We start from the raw sequence: 20,491 nt of genomic DNA on the forward strand, positions 1-20,491 counted from the left end.
ATGTGGTACATATACACAATGGAGTACTATTCAGCCAGAAAAAAATGAGATCCAGTCATTTGTAACAACATGGATGGAAATGAAGGTTATTCCATTAAGTGAAATACCAGTCTCAGAAAGACAAACATATGTTCTTACTTATTTGTGGTATCTAAGAAAAATCACACGTTCTTATTTATTTACTTATTTATTACTAAAAAATCACATGTTCTTACTTATTTGTGGTATCCAAAAATCAAACCAATTGAACTCATGGACAGAGAGAGTAGAAGGAGGCTTCCCAGAGGCTGCAAATCGTACGTGGTTTACAGGGGACGTGAGGATGGTTAATGGGGACAACAGAAATAGAAAGAATGGGTAAGACCTACTATTTGATAGCACAATAGGGTGACTATAGTCAATGATTACCTAGTTGTATGTTTTAAGATAACTTAAAAAATGTAATCGGATCGTTTGTAACTCAAAGGATAAATGCTTGAGGGGATGGATACCATATTTTCCTTAACATGCTTCTTTCACATTGCATCCTTGTATCAAAACATCTCATGTACTCCATAAATATATGCCCCTACTATGTACCCACAAATTTTTTAAAAAATAAAATAATTTAAAGTCAGAGAAAACCTATTTAACGAAATAACAGCCAAAACCAAAGGAATTCATCACCACTAGACTAGCTCTAAAAAAAATTCTTAGGAGAGTCCTATATCCAGCAGCAAAAGGACAATATTTGCCATCATGAAAACACACCAAAGTAGAGAACTCACTGATAGAACAGATACGCAAATGGGAAAAAGAAGGGAATCAAATGTTATCACTACAGAAAACCACCAAACTGTAAAGGCAAACAATACAAGAGGAAGAGGAGAACAAAGGATTTACAAAACAATCAGAAAACAATTTTTAAAATGTCAGGACTAAGTCCTCTCATATAAATAACCATAACTGTAAATGGTTTAAATTCCCCCAATTAAAAGATTGGCTGGATAGGTAGGAATAACAACAACAAAAAGAATCTAACTATGTGCTGCCTACAAAAAAAATCACTTCAATTGTAAAGCCAGATTAAAAGTGAAGGGATGGCCAGGCATGGTGGCTCACGCCTGTAATCCCAGCACTTTGGGAGGCCGAGGTGGGCAGATCACGAGGTCAGGAGATCGAGACCATCCTGGCCAATATGATGAAACCCTGTCTCTACTAAAAATATAAAAATCAGCTGGGCGTGGTGGCTCGTGCCTGTAATCCCAGCTACTCAGGAAGCTGAGGCCGGAGAATCCCTTGACCCAGGGAGTTGGAGGTTGCAGTGAGCTGAGATCGCGCCACTGCACTCCAACGTGGTGATAGAGTGAGACTCCATCTCAAAAAAAAAAAGTGAAGGGATGACAAACAATACTCCACGCAAACAGAAGCCAAAGCTGAGCAGGAGTAGCTGTAGTGTATCACACAAAATAGACATTAAGTCAAAAAACAAAGAGAGACACAAAAGGTCATTAAAAATGATAAAAACATCAATTCAGCGATAGGATATAACCATTGTAAACATATATGCGCCCAAACTGGAGCACCCAGATATACAAGACAAATATTATTAGGGCTAAATAGACAGAGAGACCCCAATACACTAATAGTTGGGGACTTCAGCAGTGGACAGATCATCTAGACAGAAAATCTACAGAAAAATATCACACTTAATCTGTACCACAGAGGAATCCAGCAGATGTTTACAGAACATACATCCAACACCTGTAGAATATACTTTCATCTCATCAGTAAATGGAACATTCTCCAAGATAAATGATACATTAGTCCTCTAAACAAGGCTTAACACATTTTTAGAAACTGAGATCATATCAGGTACCTTTTCAGACTGCAATGAAATAAAACTAGAAATCAGTAAAAGAAACTTTGGCTGTACAAATACATGAAAATTAAACATGCTTCTTGGGTCAGTGAAGCAATTGAGAAAAAGATCAAAAACTTTATTCAAACAAATGAAAATGGACATACAACATATCAAAATGTATGGGTTACAGCAAAAGTAGTGTTAAGATGGAAGTTTATAGCAATAAACACCTCTATAAAAGAGGTAGGAAGATTTCAAGTTAAAAAGTCTAACAATGTATCTCAAGGAACTAGAAAAACAAGAATAAACCAACATCAAAATTAGTAGAAGGTAAGAAATAAAGATCCAAACAGATCTAAACAAAACAGAGATTAAAGAACAATACAATACAAAAGATCAATGAAACAAAAAGTTTTTTGAAAAGATAAACAAAATTAATAAACGACTTGCTAGACTAAGAAAGAAAAAGACTCAAATAAGTAAAATCAGTGAGGAAAAAGGGGACATTATACCAGATTCCCCAGAAATTCAAAGCATGATTAGAGACTGTTAGCAACAACTGTATGCCAATAAATTGGAAAACCTAGAAGAAATGGATAAATTCCCAGTCACACACAAACTACCAAGGTTAAACCGTGAAGAAAACAGAAAACGTGAACAGAACAATAGCAAGTAATGAGATAGAAACAGTAATAAAGCCTCCCATCAAAGAAAAGCCTAGGACCTGATGGCTTCACTGCTGAATTCTACCAAACATTTAAAAAAGAATGAATACCAATTCTACTCCCACTATTCCAGAAAAATTAGGAGGAGGAAATACTTCCAAAGTATATATATAAAACCAGCATTATGTAAAACCAGCATTACCCTGATGCTAAAACTAGACAAAGGCACAACAACAAAAAACTAAAGGCCAATATCACTGATTAGCATAGACACACTTTTTTTTCAACAAAATACTGGCAAACCAAATTCAACATTAAAAAGATCATTCATCATAATCAAGTGGGTTCATCTCAGGGATGGAAGGATGGTTGAACATATGTAAATCAATAAAGGTGATACATCACATTAACAGAATCAATGACAAAACCATATGATCATTTCAATAGATGTTGAAAAAAACTTTCAATAAAATTCAATATGCCTTCATGATGAAAAAAATCTTAACAAACTGGGTATGAGGGAAACATACTTCAGAAAATAAGGGCCATATATGACAAACCCCAAGCTAGCATCACACTTAATTGGGAAAAACTGAAAGCCCCTCCTTTACCACGTGGAACAAGACAAAGATGTCCACTTTCACCACTTTTACTCAACACAGTACTGGAATTCCTAGCCAGAGCAATTAGACAGGAGAAAAAATTAAAGGGCATTCAAATTAGAAAGGAAGAATTCAAGTTAGCCTTGTTCACAGACAACATGATCTTACATCTAGAACCAAGAGACTCCAACAAAAACTGTTAAACTGATAAATTCAGTTAAGTCGCAGGATACAAAATCAACATACAAAAATCAGTAGCATTTCTATATGCCAACAGCAAACATCTGAAAACAAATAAAGAAAGCAATCCCATTTGCAACAGCTACAATAAAATAGCATAAACACCTAGGACTAAACTTAATAAAAGTGAGATCTCTACAATAAAAGTATAAAGCATTGATAAAAGAAATTGAAGAGAACATAATAAATTGGAAAGATAGCCCATGTGGATTGGAAGAATACTGCTAAAATGACCGTTCTATCCAAAGCAATCTACATTTTCAATGTAATCCATATCAAAATATCAATGACACTCTGCACATGAAAAGAAAAAGGCAATCCGGAAATTCATATGGAACAACAAAAGCAATCCTGGACAAAACGAACAAAGCTGGAGGCATCACGTTACCTGACTTGAAAATGCTCTATAAAATTACAAAAAGCAAAGTAAGCATGGTACTAGCATAAAAATGGACATATGGACCAATGGAACACATGAAAGAACGTAGAAACAAATCCACACATTTAGTCAATGGAGTTTCAAGAAAGTCATCAAGAAAATACATTGAGAAAGGAAAATCTAGATAGCCCATATGCAAAAGAATAAAACTAGACCCCTATCTCTCCCCATATACAAAAGTCATATCAAAACAGCTTAAATATTTGAATATAAGACCTAAAACCATGAAACTACTATAAGAAAACATTGGGTAAACACTTCAGACATTGAGCTGGGCAACTACTTATTGAGCAAGACCTCAAAAGCACAGGCAACCAAAGCAAATATAGAAACATGAGATCAAATCAAGCTAGAAAGCTTCTGCACAGCAAAGAAAATAATCAATGAAGAAACAACCTATAGAATTGAAAAAAAAATTTGCAAAGTATTCATTGGACAAGAGATTAATAATCACAATATATAGGAACTCAAACTCAATAGCAAAAAACAACCCAATTAAGAACAGGCAAAATATGCTGAATTCATAGAAATGGCCAACAGATATATAAAAAAATGTTCAATAACATTAATGGTCAGGGAAATGCAAATTAAAACCACAATGAGCTATCATCTCCCCAGTTAAAATGGCTACTATAAAAAAGTAAGAAAATAACAAATGCTGGCAAGGATGTGGAGAAAGGGGAAGGCTCACACATTGTTGGTGGAATGTAAATTAGTACAACCACTATGGACAACAGTAAGGAGGTTCCTCAAGAAACTACAAACGCAACTACCATATAACCAAACAATCCAAACGTTGGATATAGATCCAAAAGAAAGGAAATCAGAATATCAAAGAGAGATCTGCACTCCCATGTTTATTGCTGCACTATTCAAAATAGCCAAGGCAGGGGTCGACCTAAATGTCCATCAATAAGTAAAAAAAAAAATGCCATATATATATATATACACACACATATACACACACACACAACGGAATATAGTTCCTCTATGAAAAGTAATAAAATCCTGTCATTTGTAGCAACATGGATGGAACTTAAAGACATCACATGATGTGAAATATGCCAGGCACAGAAAGACATATCTCATGTTCTCACTCATACATGGGAACTAAAAAGAAGGTGATTTTATAGAGATAGTGAATACAATAGTGGTTTTGAGGCTGGAAAGAGTAGTAGGTAGAGGGATTAAGAGGGGTTGGTTAATGCATACAAGATTACAGCTCAATAGGAGGAGTAAGATCTAGTGTTCAGCTGCACAATAGGGCAACTATAGTTAATAGTTTACTGTATATTTCAAAATAGCTAGAAGAGAAAATTTAGAATGTTCCCAACATAAATAAATTTTTGAGGAGATGGATCTCCCAGTTACCCAGATCTGATCATTACACATTGTATGCTGGTATCAAAATACCACATATACCACACAAATATGTACAACTATCATATATCAATAAAAATGTTTAAAAAGCAATAAAGAGCATTTAACTTGGAAGAAATCACATTGTCCTCCCTTTGCAGACAACATGACCTTATATACGGAGAAACTAAAAGACTCCACCAAAATACCCTTAGAACTGATAAATTCAGTAAAGCTGCAAGATACAAAATCAACATGCAAGAATCAGCAGTGTTTCTATACACCAATAATGAACTACCTGAAACAGAAATCAAGAAAGTAATCCCATTTACACTAGCTACCCACCCCCCAAAAAAAGACACCTAGGAGTAAATTTAACCAAGGAGGTGAAAGGCCTCTGCAATAAGAACTATAAAACATTGATAAAAGAAACTGAAGAGAACACAAATGGAAAGGCATACCATGCTCATTAATTGGAAGAATTAATATTGTTAAATGATGATACTATCCAAAGCAATCTACAGATTCAATGCAATCCCTATTAAAATACCAACGATATTCTTCAAGAAATAGAACTAATGATCCTAAAATTAACATGAAAACACAAAAGACCCCAAATAGCCAAGGCAATACCGAGCAAAAAGAACAAAGCTGGAGGTATCACACTACCTAACTTCAAAATATCCCACAAAGTTATACTAACAAAAAAAACATGGAATTGGTATAAAAACAGACATATAGACCAATGGAACAGAACAGAAAACGCACAATTAAATACACATTATTTATAGGCAACTGATTGTCAACAAAGGCACCAAGAACACACAGTGGGGAAAGGACACCTCTTCAATTATTTGTCATCAGAAAAGTGGATATCCACGTGCAGAAGAATGAAACTAAACCCTTATCTGTCACCACACAGAAAAATCAACCAAAATTAATTAACTACTGTGAGCCTGGAAACTATAATACTAAAAGAAAACAGTTGGTGGGACTGTAAACTAGTTCAACCATTGTGGAAAACAGTGTGGCGATTCCTCAGGGATCTAGAACTAGAAATACCATTTGACCCAGCCATCCCATTACTGGGTATATACCCAAAGGATTATAAGTCATGCTGCTATAAAGACACATGCACACGTATGTTTATTGTGGCACTATTCACAACAGCAAAGACTTGGAACCAACCCAAATGTCCAACAATGATAGACTGGATTAAGAAAATGTGGCACATATACACCATGGAATACTATGCAGCCATAAAAAAGGATGAGTTCATGTCCTTTGTAGGGACATGGATGAAGCTGGAAACCATCATTCTCAGCAAACTATCGCAAGGACAAAAAACCAAACACCACATGTTCTCACTCATAGGTGGGAATTGAACAATGAGAACACATGGACACAGGAAGGGGAACATCACACACCGGGGCCTGTTGTGGTGTGGGGGGAGGGGGGAGGGATAGCATTAGGAGATATACCTAATGTAAATGACAAGTTAATGGGTGCAGCACACCAACATGGCACATGTATACATATGTAACAAACCTGCACGTTGTGCACATGTGCCCTAGAACTTAAACTATAATTTAAAAAAAAAAAAAGAAAACATAGGGGAAACACTTCAGAACATTGGTCTAGGCAAAGATTTTATGGCTAAGACCACAAAAGCACAAGCAACAAAAACAAAAATAGATAAATGAGACTGTATTAAACCAAAATGCTTCTGCAGAGCAAAGGAAACACTCAACAGAGTGAAGAGACAACTATAAAATGGCAGAAAATATTTGCAAATTATGCATTCAAAAAGGAACTAATATCCAGAATATACAAGGAACTCAAACAACTCAACAGCAAAAATATCACAAATATTCCAATTCAAAAGAGGGCAAAGGATCTAAATAGATATTTATCTAACACATATAGAAAAGGCCAATAAAAATGCTTATCAGCAACCATCAGGAAAATGCAAATCAAAACCAAAATGAGGTGTCATCTCACCCCAATGAGAATGACTATTATCAAAAAGACCAAAAAAAATAAAAATAACAAATGCTGGCAAGGATGTGGGGAAAACATACTCTCATACTAGGCTGGTGCAAAAGTAATTGTGGTTTTTGCCATTAAAATTAATAGCTACCCACTCCCAAAAAAAGACACCTAGGAATAAATTTAACCAAGGAGGTGAAAGGCCTCTACAATGAGGCCACTGCCATTACTTTTAATGGCAAAAACTGCAATAACTTTTGCACCCACCTAATAGTATAGCCATTATGGAAAACAGCATGAGGGGTTCTCAAAAAACTAAAAATAGAACTACCATACAATCTAGCAATTACAGTACTGGGTATTTATCCAAAGGATAGAAAATCAGTATATCCAAGGGATACCTGCAGCCCCATGTTTATTACAGCAGCACTATTCAGAAAAACTAAGATGAAATCAACCTCTATGTCCATCAATGGAAAAATGGATAAAGAAAATGTGGCATACATACACAATGGAATATTATTCAGTCATGAAAATGATATTCTGTCATTCATGGCAACATGGATGGGCCTAGAGGACACTATGTTAAGCAAAGTCAGTCAGGTGCAGAAAGATAAAATACTCCGTGTTCTCACTCATATGTGGGAATTAAAAAAAATGGATTTCATGGAAGTAGAGAGCAGAACTGTGGGTACTAGAGGCTAAGAAGGTGGGGAGAGGTTGGTTAATGAACACAAACTTAGGAGGAACGAATCTGCTCATCTGCAGCACTGTAGGGGGATATGGTTCACTTTATTTTATTGTATATTCTCAAAACGCTAAAAGAGGATTTTGAATATTCATGACATAAAGAAATGATAAATATATGAGGTGACAGATATGCTAATTACCCTGATTTGATACTACACATAGTATACACATAATTAAGTATCACTCTGTATCCCAAAATATGTGCAATTATTATGTGTCAACTAAAAACAAAAGGAAAAAACTATAAGGATAAAAAACAGATCAGCGGTTATCAGGGGTTGGGGTAGGGGTGGTAGGGTTGACTATAAAGGGACATGAGGGCACTTTTTTGGGAAACGAAACCATTCTGTATCTTGATTTTGATGGCAGTTTCATGACTGGGTTTGTTGAAATCATAGAACTGTCTCACTAAGTAGGGTAAATTTTTTGCATGTAAATTGTACCTCAACAAACCTGATTTTATTTTAAAAAACATTTTTAAAGAAATAAACTAGGTAAAACTTGGTATGTTGTTTACCGAGCAATAACTTGTCAATCATAACGTAATTCAACCCACTTACTACATATGTTCTACTAGCACTCTGGCCTTCACCCATCCTTTTAATTAAATATTTAATGCCTACATTCCCACTTGACTCTAAACTCCACAGATCCTTACCTTTGGTTAAATCGGTTAAATCTCAGCTTGGTGGGTGACAAAAGTTCCAGGAAACAAAATATATGCAGTTCAATGAGTTATCTTATTTATCTGTTTCCTACCATGTACTGAGGGTCATTACTTTTGGGTTTATGAAATCTAGGCAGAGTTCTCTGAAGATCATTGAGATTTTGCCGTGGAGGTGTTTCAATCTGGTTCCATACTACATACCTTGTCCTGGGTTTGGCAACGGAAACAGTCACATTCAAAGCAGTACTGGTCCCTCAGCTGCTTCCGGCGCTCCTCACTGGTCATCAGCATATCCAGGTAGCAGATGGTGAGCTGTGCAGGCCAGAGAGAGGGAAGCGCTGAAACATCTGCTGTGCTCATTTCTTTAACAAATGGTTATTATTATTGCTAATTATTGGAGTAAAACTTGTTTTTATTATAAACCAAAAATATAAGAGAGAAGGTACTGCTTATAGTTTCTCTACCCAAATGATCACACGTAAATTTTTAATCTATTTCCTTTCAGTCTTTGCTATGTGGTAAATATATATGTATCATATATTTAAAGAACGGGTCTTATGATCTCTACCCACTTTTGTATCTTAGTTTTTTTCACTACAGGAAAATATCAAAAACTGTTGTATGTTTACTAAGGTTTGCTAATAAATTCTATAACCATTAGCAATCAGAGAAGCCAAATTAATCCTGGCAACCGAAAGGGTGGCAGATGATACAGCCAGATTGCTCTTAAATTCTAACCAATTCTATAGCTGCCTCATGGAATTTAAGGTCATCCAAATTTGGTATCTTTGAAATGAGAAAACAGTTCTCTTATTTGTATCTAGGTTTGGAAAAAAAAGGGGGGGTAGAATAATTTCCAAATAGGGGAGAGTTTAACTTGAGAGTACCACCACTGATGGAAGCATTCAAACTGACTGCCTTACACCCTTTCAGAGTAATATCCCCTGCCTCGGATGGTGAAGGGTTATAAATGAGAGGATATATTTAAAGGACTCCTCGGACACTCTCTAACACTGAGTCCCATTAAGTCACGGGTCTTTAGGCAACATCATAATGCTTGAGCATTTTGCACTTGATTAGATCTCTTATGAAAGTCTAATTCAAAATCCAGAAAACAGAATGCTTGATCTTCCCCTCAACCTGTTCCATCTCGGCTAGAGCATTCTCACTCTCAGTTGACAGTAACTCATCTTTTGACTTATCCAAGTTGAAGCCTCAGAGTCATCCTTGACTTCACTCTTTCCTTTACACTTGCCATCCAATCCACCAGGAAATTCTGCGGGCTCCACCTTAAAAACTACCCAGAATCAACCACTTTTTACCTTTTCCAGTGCCACCATCCTGGTCTGAGCCATCATTACCTCTCACCTGTAAAATGTAATAGTCTCACAACTGGTCTCTCTGATTCTTTCTCCAGGCCCCCTGCACTCCACCCTCTAGCCAGAGTGATTCACATAAAATATGTCAGATGACATGTTCTGTTTGAAACATCACAACAGCTCCCCACTTTGCCTGAGTGAAGGCCAGGTCCTTCTAACTCCCCAAGTGCAATTCAAAGTATGGTCCCCGCATTGGTGCCAGTGCGCACTGTGGGTTACCAGTCCATGACGACATGAGTCAAGAAACAAAGTCAATATTTAGAAATGTTTTTTACTAATTTGGTAAGGGTAATTTTATGTGACTCTAATAATAAAACATTGGGCTTTAAAAAAAAAAAAAAAGACAGGGTCTCACTGTGCCACCAAGGCTGGTGTGCAGTGGCATGATCACAACTCACTGCAGCCTCAACCTCCCAGGTTTGGGTGATCCTCCCACCCCTCAGCTTCCCAGGTAGCTGGGGCTACAGGCATGTACCACCACACTGGCTAATTTTCTGTATTTCTTGTAGAGATGGAGTTTCGCCATGCTACCCAGGCTGGTCTTGAACTCCTGGGCTCAAGCAATCCTTCCTCCTTGACCTCCCATGGAATTACAGGCGTAAGCCACTGCACCCAGCCCTTCATTTTTCTAATAATTTATTTTCACTAGATTTTATAAAAATACTGGTCTGCAATAGATTATGAAGGAAAAGAAAAACTGGTCCTTCGTCATAGGTAGAGAAGCAATGGCTTCACATAATCCCACCTGTTCCCTCTCATTTCCCAGTTTCCCTCATTGCTGCTGCTCCACCAGGCTGGCCTCCCGTCTGGCTCCACACACACTCCTACCTCAAGGCCTGTGCACTGGCTGTTCCCTCTGCCCTTCTGCCCCGTTTACTATGACAACCTCCCTCATCGCCTTTGAGTTTCAGTCAAATCCCACTTTCTCGTTCAGGTCTAACCTCAATGCCCTATTAAGAGTAACAACCCAATTCCCTTACCTGCTCTAGTTTTTCTTTTCCTGTATCATATATCAGCTTGTACCAGACTGTAGAAATTACTTCTTTGCTTTTAAAAGTAGAAAGTAATCATGGCGGTATGTGTGGTGGGGGGAGAAGTGAAGACTTTGGCAGAGCAAGAAGGCAGGATTATCCACTGAAGGGATGCAAAAAACTCCCTAGAGCAGAAAACTCCATGTGGTTTTTGTTATACTTAAAAGAAAGCATCTCATGTCTACAAAGCATGATCTTACTTGTTTGAAATCATAGTAGGGCAAAGGCAGCCACCCTCTCTGGCAGAAAACAAAGCTTTGGGAAGGACTCTCTCAAGCTGTAGGGGTGATGGTGGATGGCTGGGCTGGCCAGCCAGATCTGTCAAATCCACCATGGCCGTCACCATCACCAACGGGACAGGAGTCACAGCCTGATCTGGCTGGCTGGCTCTCCATAGATTCTTCACATTAGGCAACCATAACATGCTGCTCCACACACAGAAACAAGAATATCTGCCCTTAAGAGATACAGACAATGACGTTACTGAGTATCTACTGTTTGTGGCGAGGCAGCATAGCACAGTAAAAACTGGCAAAGGTCTTGGGTTCAGGTAACACTGAAGACTGCACCCAGATCTCTTGATAAGTCTGATGCTCTTTTTACTTTTACATGGCTGCTTCTCATACTTGGCAGGGAGAGAGGGCTGTAGAAGAAGCTGGCGTCCCTTAAGGAGTGTCCGTAGCACCGTCAAACCTAAAATACTCACACCTGTGTTAGAGAATGTTCTGTGGCAACTGAGATCCTTCAGCTGAGACAACAGCCACTTTTTGATTTCCTCCATGTTTCTCTTGCTTCATGATCTGAAGCCAGGGTTGCCTCTGAGGCACAAAGGGTCACCTATACCAGGCAAGTTCCTCTTGTTTCTAATGAATGCTATGTTCCAAATTCCAAATAACCTATTTCCAAGCTCACTTTTTGAAACAGCCTATGAGTAAGTCTGGGACAGTAGATAGATTCATCTTATACTATCAGGCTCTGTGGGTCCCAGTTTCCTTACAGGAGGTGAGGTAGCAAATGAGCGCATCCCTATGTCCCCTCTTGGGTTAACTCTAGGACACTAATTCTGAATCCAGCCCAATGGCTCTTAGTCATCAACTCCCATTATCAGAGCAGGTAAATGGACAGTAGTTATTGGGAGATTACAGTGTGCCCAGTGTGAAGCCACTAACTCCAGGGCCTGTCATGCCAGAAAAAAATGTGCTTGACTAACCCAAGACTTTATTACAAGGGCCAAAACTCATGAGTGATCTTGTCAGGCAGTGAATGGCCAACAGGAGACTAGTTATTTCATTTAACCCCAATAAATGGGCTCCTAAAGCCTCCCTCGGCATACTGTAACTGCCTGGAACCATTACCTGGACTACGCAATGGCTTTCTAACTGGCTTCCCCGCTGCCTGCAGTGTACCTTTCATCTTCTAAACTGCTTTGAGAGAGATCTTCCTAAAACTCACATGTGATCACGTCATTTCTCTACATAAAAACTTGCGATGGTTTCTCACTGCCCTTGAATAAAGGCACACAAGGATTTCCCTCAGCTGTTTTTCTGTCTGCCTTTCTAGCCTCCATGTCTCTCCCTGAACCCCAGCCTGTCACAGTTATGTACATTGCTAGACCTCTGAAACAATGAACACCATGCCAACATGTGTCTGGGCATCACTGGCTAAGCGAGCCTCTCCTCCACACTCAGCCTCCTGAGAGCCTCTCATCCTCCAAGCTTGGCTCAAATACACCTCTTCCTATGGCGACTGCCCCATTACCTCAGAGAAAGCCACCCATTTTTGTGCTTCTTTTATGCCAATGAAGTCTGCAGAATATCTGGTTATCAATTGTGAAGTGCTTAATGGCAAAAATATTTTATTCATATTTTTGGGAAAAAACAGCCAGATTACTAACTGGTAATGACAGCTAAAATCATGTTATTAGCCAAAGATAAAAACCTTTATTAAAGACTCATTGACTCACTAGTTGTAATGGAATATCTGCTCAGTAAATGTAAGGCTCATTTAGTGGGAATGTATATGTGAAACTTGGCCATTGATCAGTAGACACCTTAATGGCACAGAACAAAATTGCATTAAAATATTAATGCCATTGACCACTGCTCTGCCATTTTAGTGCAGCTCTTATAGAAAATGCAGTAAATCATTTCTGACATTAGAGTAATATAATGAAGGAGATTTTCTAGATCTTGAATACATAGCTTACATTAAAATCTCAAGACAAAATGAACTCCTTTTCCATGAAACCATCTTTTCATTGTCTACAACTGAGTGGATAAGATGAGCAAGTTAAGGCCGGCCACGGTGGCTCACGCCTGTAATCCCAGCACTTTGGGAGGCCAAGGCGGTAGGATCACGAGGTCAGGAGATTGAGACCATCCTGGCTAACACGGTGAAACCCCGTCTCTACTAAAAATACAAAAAATTAGCCAGGCGTGGTGGCGGGCGCCTGTAGTCCCAGCTACTCGGGAGGCAGAGGCAGGAGGATGGCGTGAACTCGGGAGGCGGAGCTTGCAGTGAGACGAGATCATGCCACTGCACTCCAGCCTGGGCGACAGAGCGAGACTCCGTCTCAAAAAAAAAAAAAAAAAAAAAAAAAAGATGACCAAGTTAAAATTAGACCTTGTTTCATTTCTAGAATTCCGTGATCACAGTTATGAATGTTTCTGTTAATACTGGCTCTGAACTGGAAAAAAGCCTGAAAAATGTCACTTCTTTTTAAAGTCAAACCTGAGTATCTTTGTGTCTCTTGTTTCACAAGTTGTGTCCTTGTTTCACAAATCCTGCTAATTTTATCTTCTTAATATTATAGTCTTCAGGTACCCTATCACAAGCCACCACCTGAGCTCCCCGACTTCAGGCTACCACTGTTATCTCTTCCCTGGATTATTACATCACCCCGACGCTCATTCTCCCAACCTTGCCTACACATAGAAAAGTGGTCATACAAAAATAAGCAATGAGCAAAGGACATCCTGTTCAATAAACGGTGCTAGGACGGCTGGCTAGCCATATGCAGAAGACACCTACCTTGTACCATATATAAAAATTAATACAAAGATTAAAAATTTAAATGTAAGACCACAGACTTTATGCACCCTAGAAGAAAACCTAAGAAACACCATTCTGGACGTCAGCTTTCGGAAAGAACATATGACTAAGTCTTCAACAGCAATTGCAACAAAAACAAAAATTGACAAGTGGGACCTAAACTAAAGAGTTTCTGCACAGCAAGAGAAACTATCAACAAAGTAAACAAACGACCTACAGAATAGGAGAAAATATTCACAAACTATGCATCTGACAAAGGTCTAATACCCAGAATCTATAAGGAACTTAAGCAATTCAATAAGCAAATAACCCAAGTAAAAAGTGGGCCAAAGACATGAGCAGACACATTTGAAAAGAAGACATACCAGCAGCCAACAAACATGGTTTTAAATGCTCCACATCACTAATCAGAGAAATGCAAATCAAAACCACAACGAGAAACCATCTTACACCAGTCAGAATGGCTATTACTAAAAAGTCCAAAAATAACAAATGTTGGTGAAGCTGTGGAGAAAAGGGAACACTTATACACTATTGGTGGGAATGTAAATTGGTTAACCCACTGTTGAAAGCAGTTTGGAGAGGAGCTCAGAACTACCATTTGAGCCAACAATCCCATTACTGGGTATATACCCAAAGAAAATAAGTCATTCTACCAAAAACACACATGCACTCACGTGTTCATCACAGTACTATTCACAATAGCAAAGAAATAGAATCAACCTAAGTGCCCATCAACAGTGAGCTAAAAAATGTGGTGTATATATATATATATATATATACACATACCATGGAATAGTATGCAGCCATAAAAAAGAATGACATCATGTCCTTTGTGGCAACATGAATGCAGCTAGTGGCCATTCTCCTAAGCAAATCAATGCAGAAACAGAAAACCAAACCCAGCAATTACAGATTTCTCATAAATTGTGGAAACAAATATTTAGAGAATCTATCGAACCAAACACCCAATGTTCTCACTTATAAGTGGGAACTAAACACTGGGTACTCATGGACATAAAGATGGCAATGACAGACACTGGCACTACTAGAGAGGGAGGTAGGGCAAGGGGTGAAAAACTGTTGGGTACCATGTTCACTACCAGGGTGATGGGATTCATCACACCCCAAAGCTCACTATCATGCAATATACCCATGCAACACAGCTGCACATGTGCCCCCTGAATCTAAAATAAAAGTTGAAATTATTTTTTTAAAAATCACAATTAGGTTACTAAATATTCTTTTAGCTTAATTCAAAAGGTAAATGAAATTACATTTCTTTTACACTTATCCATTCTTAAGAATGGGGCAGGGACTTTTATAATGAATTTAACTGTGAAATCACAATTTAGTTATTTATTGAATATAATTTAATAAAACCCCGTTAAAAGTAATTTTATCATCTTAAGCCAAAAACAAAAATCAAACTTGTATGTATTTGTATTCAACAGCCTAAACCTGAAAGCACCGGCTCATTTCAGACTTAAAGGTACCTTCATTTAAAGTGAAACTGGTCATAACACTTTCAGCTTCAATTTCAGAGGAGCATGTATTAGAACAAAGACTGCCTATAGAAAATGTTAATTTAAGAATGGAAAATAATCTGTGTAGATGTCATCATGGACCAACACTTCTATACACAAACCAAATGTTATTCAACAGTTGTAGCAATCTTTCTTGCCGAGTCCAAACATCAGCCAGACCACCTCCACCAAAGACCAATTATTCTGCTTTGATACGTAAGATGAGATTTACTATAGTTTTGATAGATTCTCTAAATATGTTTCCACAATTTATGAGAAATCTCTAATGTCATATTTTTTTTTTGGACACTCACCATTTGAGCTCTACTTTTCCCTTCAGGAAACTCTAATCACAAATGGAAGAAGAAAATCACTATGTAGTAAGCATCATGTGCTGGGCACTGTCCTAGGTAAATAATTTGTTACTTCAATCCTGAGAATGAAGCTTTATTACTAACCCCCTCCACACTGCGTAGTAGTAAGTGTAGCACTGAACAAATCATTTCCCAGTTTAAACCTTACATTTTCTTCCATAAAATAAAAAAAATGAATATGTAACATTATCTGAGTTTTCTAAGATTCCAAAGATGGTACAGACTACTTAGGTCTTACTCAATTTTGTAGTCCTTGGGTTTTGTTTTTTGTTTTTACCTATTAGGCTTCATCTATTGCTTCCTAAATTGAATCACCCTATAAATATTCCCTATCATCATAGCCATGGTCGTATATACAAAAAGTGAATGAAAGGCAAAGGAAACATCACGTTTCAATCATATGGTTCAACGAGTTGAGAAAAACTCACACTACAGCAACAGTGACTGAGGTAAAATTGAATGTACACTGAGTAAAATGTTTCGTTTGTGATATCCCAAATCTAACTCAGGGGTTAGAATTGGGTGGGGTTTTAAAAATTGTTTTCTTCAAGTGTTTTATGTATAGTACATACAATAAAAAACAGTAACATTTGTAAACATGCAGGAAAAAAAAAACAAGAAAATCTGGCCACGCAGTTCCTTTGCTGAAACCCTTCAATCATGTCCCGCTGCTCGTCCTTCTCCCTTACACAAATATTTACTGGGCGCCTCCTATAGACCAGCCAATGTTATGAAACCTTCAGCTAAACCAAGGTCTGTGATAAGGCTCCCATGGGGTTTGTCAGTCTGATCCCTACATCTTCCCTCAAATTCGGGTCACATCTAAATTCTTTCGTCGTCTATTGATGAGAACTGCTTCCTACTCCTTGAACTCACCATTCTGTCCCTGGCCTCTGTGTCTATGTCTACAATGCCTTTTCCAGCCTCATCCAACTCTAACTCCATGGATCCTTTCAGAGTCTAGGAGTCAGTCCTCTGGAAGCATTCCTTAACCACTCTCCACTCCCTCCCCTTACTAATCACTCGAGTGCTCCTGCTCTGAGCTGCTGTAAGCCTGTGCCCATTTACACCACTGTGCATCTTAATTCTATTATTGTTTTCTGTTCTCTGTCAGTTTCCTCAACTATACCTTGAACTCTTGAAGTCAGGGCTGGGTCTTAATAATCTTTGTATTAGAGAAGGTTTCTAAAACTGCTACCAACTCCTGACATCCAGTAAACATGCAGTGAATTCGTTTAATGGTTTAGCAAATAAGATGACTAACAGAAGAAACAGACTGTCTTAATCCCAAAAGACATCAGATTAAGACTGACATTAGGGATACTAATGCATTCAACTTGTGTCAATCACATTTCTCCCAGTTGATATGGCGCCAGAGAATGCTGGCAGCCAATGGCATTATTTGTAACAGCTACAAGTTATTTTAACCAGGAACTACCATAAGACTGCTTTGGCCTACCCAGCTTTCCTCCCTGATCCATGTTTTATAAAACTATCAGAACAAATGAATCTCATATTTAAGATAATTTTGAAAAGGTAGCCATCAGCAATCCAGTCAAGTGAGCCATGACTTAAATGATATTACACATCTCTCTCTGTAGGAGGCGGCTGAATGAGGAGACAAAAATCCAAAGTCAAATAAAAAAAAAAGACCCAATAACTCAGCATTACAATGGAGAGCCTTAAATAGCAAAGTATTATAAATGTTGCTGGTTTGCAAGGAAACTGTCCAAAGAGGGTCCAAAGGATGGATTTATATAGAGAGAAACATGGGGTGAGAAATTTCCATGGCAACTTCTGTTATCACAGACCTTGTGCAATTTTCCAGCTCTCCTTGTGTGAGGTTTGAAATGCTCCCATCTTAAACTGGCAGTAGACTGGCTTTCATATTCCCTTCCTTTCAGGAGCCATGGGACACCACTGAGGACTGCCAGTCATTTGTAAATGTCTGAGACTCTATTCCAGCTTTTTTTTTTTTTTTTTTTTTTTCTGAGATGGAGTTTCACTCTGTCGCCCAGGCTGGAGTGCAATGGTGCGATCTTGGCTCACCGCAACCTGCGCCTCCTGGGTTTAAGCGATTCTCCTGCCTCAGCCTCCTCAGTAGCTGGGATTACAGGTGTGCGCCACCACACCTGGCTAATTTTTTGTATTTTTAGTAGAGACGGGGTTTCACCATGTCGGCCAGGCTGGATGCAAACTCCTGACCTCAAGTGATCCACCTCCCTTAGCCTCCCAAAGTGCTGAGATTACAGGCATGAGCCACGGTGCCCAGCCCTATTCCAGCTCTTATTTTATCTTTAAGAAGTCTCATTAATTTACTCAACAAATGTTGATTGAGGAACTTCTGCCTCAGTTGCTGTTGAGTCTTCCATTGTGAATCCCATATTCTGACACTCAGATCCCAAATAGCTCATATTAAAACTGTGGGTGCCCTAATGAGCACTAAAGCCAAATGCAAAGTTCATGATAGGAAATTACCAAAATGTCTAAAATTTTTTCCCAAGGAATTTTAACTTTCAAAAAATTAATACATAATATTTATACATATTTATGGGGTCCAGGTACTATTTTGCTACCTGCATACGATGTGTAATGATCAAGTGATGGTATTTAGGTTATCCACGACCTCATGTATTTACCATTTTTGTATGTTGGGAACACAAAATGTCTAGATTTATTCCTTAATTTAAAGCTAATATTTGTACAATAAATAGGAATTACCCTGCTTAATCAATGCCTCAAACTGTCTTTTCTCATGGCTCTCCCTCTCCCCTACCTCTGCTCCAAGGGGTCAGTTTGAAAGGCATAGGATATATTTTAGTTGTTGGGGGATGGCTACAGGCATTAGTTAAGCACACGCCAAGGACACAAGTCTTCTCCAATGATGCAACAATCCCACACGATGAAGAACTGTCCCATTCAAAATGGCAATAGTGTCCCCACAAGAAATACTGCCGGTCATTAGAGTAAGCTCAATATAATAGAGAGTCGATTCAACAAAAAGTTATCAAATGCCTCCTGGATGCAAAGCTAAGTGCTAAGAGATACAGAAATAAGACACGATTGTCTGTCCTCATAAAGCTCTAAATAGAGAGGTCTCCAAAACAGCCATAATATGTGCCAAAAATGTATTAATAACCACTATAAGCGAGAACTCAAAGGAAAAGAACTTCTTCTAATATGGGAAATCAGGGAAAGAGTTACACAAGAGATGTGATTGAAAGGGTATCTTAGTCCATTTTCTGCTGTTTTAACAGAATACCACAGACTGGGTAATTTATAAATAAATTTCTCACAGTTCTGGAGTCTGGGAAGCATGATGCCAAAAGCATGGCACCGGCATCTGGGGAGGGCCTTCTTGCTGCCTGATAACATGGCAGAGGGCGTCACATGAGGTGGCAGCAGGAGTGTCCTCTTCTTATAAAGCCACCAATCTCATCATGGGGTTCCCACCCTGATAACCTTATCTAATCTGGATTACTTCCCAAAGACTCCACCTCCACAAAGCATCAGCAAGAATTTGGGGATAAAGTTTTCAACAGATGGAATCTGGGGGACATGTTTAAATCATAACAAACAGCCTCGAAGGGCATATAACATTAAGACAAAGAGACACAGTGGACAGAAACGATGATGAATCAGGGGAAACACTGTTCAGCAAGACCTACAAAATGGAATGGAGAAATGTTTATTCTCTTAAACTGGTATATATGAAGGACTTGTGGGGAGAACCTTCTTTTTGTTGAGAAGATGCCTTGCTAAGTACCACAGGGAAAAATATCTGAGTCTGAAGGGCTTTACACTGAGTGGAAATGTCTCGTATTTGGCAAGAGGGAGGATTTGCTTGTTGCTCCAGAGATGGAAAGAGAAAGATGTGAAAAAGTGAAAGCAGCACCTAAAGACAAGGTGTCTTATTCAACTAAATGAAAAGCAACCACGGGAGAATGACTGGCAGCCGAGCCTAGGAAAATAGAAGAAACTTTCTTTGTTGTTTCTGAAAATTCCAACCAACTCTAATTGCTTTTGTCAAGTTACTTGGTTTGTTTTTTAATTTGCAAAAACATCGTCATCATCGACAACAGCAGCAGCCGCTCTTCAGCCCCCAAATGAATATTGCTGAAAATAGATAGCGGTTTCATCTCTTACCTGCCTTGAAGTCCTTTGCGGCCCCAGAAAAAAAAGAGAAAAAACTACATTGTCCATCTCACTGACATCTATCCCAGTATATTTCATACACTGGTCCTAAAATCTGGAAATTTAGCGAGTAGTTGTATAAGAAGTGGCTCCTTCCACTGAAAATCAGTTTGGGGAGAATCTTGTCAAAGCCAAATCCCTGTCTACATAAAATATGGTACCTCTGAGTTGAGGTTTTATTGGCTGAGTGCTGCATAAATGCAATAAAAGCTTTCAGTACTGTTTTCCTTGCAATAAATATCCACTTTAGCAAATTGGAAAGGAGAAGGAAACGGGGTTCTGGAAAGTAGAAATATCTGTAACTCAGAACTCAGCATGGGTAGTCACTGTGCAAACCAGTGCAAGCTTAGGTTCAGAGCCCTGGAGCAGCCCGTTTGCAGCT

The 20,491-nt window shown here is 38.5% G+C and overlaps 1 protein-coding gene across 19 annotated transcripts in view; it reads right to left on the minus strand.

Moving 5' to 3' along the window:
* The window catches only part of SMYD3 (SET and MYND domain containing 3), a 757,933-nt gene that overhangs the window by 157,428 nt on the left and 580,014 nt on the right, over nt 1-20,491 (minus strand). For 18 of the 19 annotated variants that reach the window (NM_001167740.2, XM_047428020.1, XM_024449136.2 and 15 more), the window contains one exon: nt 8,756-8,866. The exons of the other annotated variant lie outside the window; for it this stretch is intronic. In NM_001167740.2, the coding sequence (NP_001161212.1) occupies nt 8,756-8,866 (111 nt within the window). The remainder of the gene's footprint in view (nt 1-8,755; nt 8,867-20,491) is intronic. 19 annotated transcript variants of the gene reach the window in all.

Source organism: Homo sapiens, chromosome 1 (genome assembly GCF_000001405.40).
Source record: "Homo sapiens chromosome 1, GRCh38.p14 Primary Assembly".
In the NCBI taxonomy this organism is placed as follows: domain Eukaryota; kingdom Metazoa; phylum Chordata; class Mammalia; order Primates; family Hominidae; genus Homo; species Homo sapiens.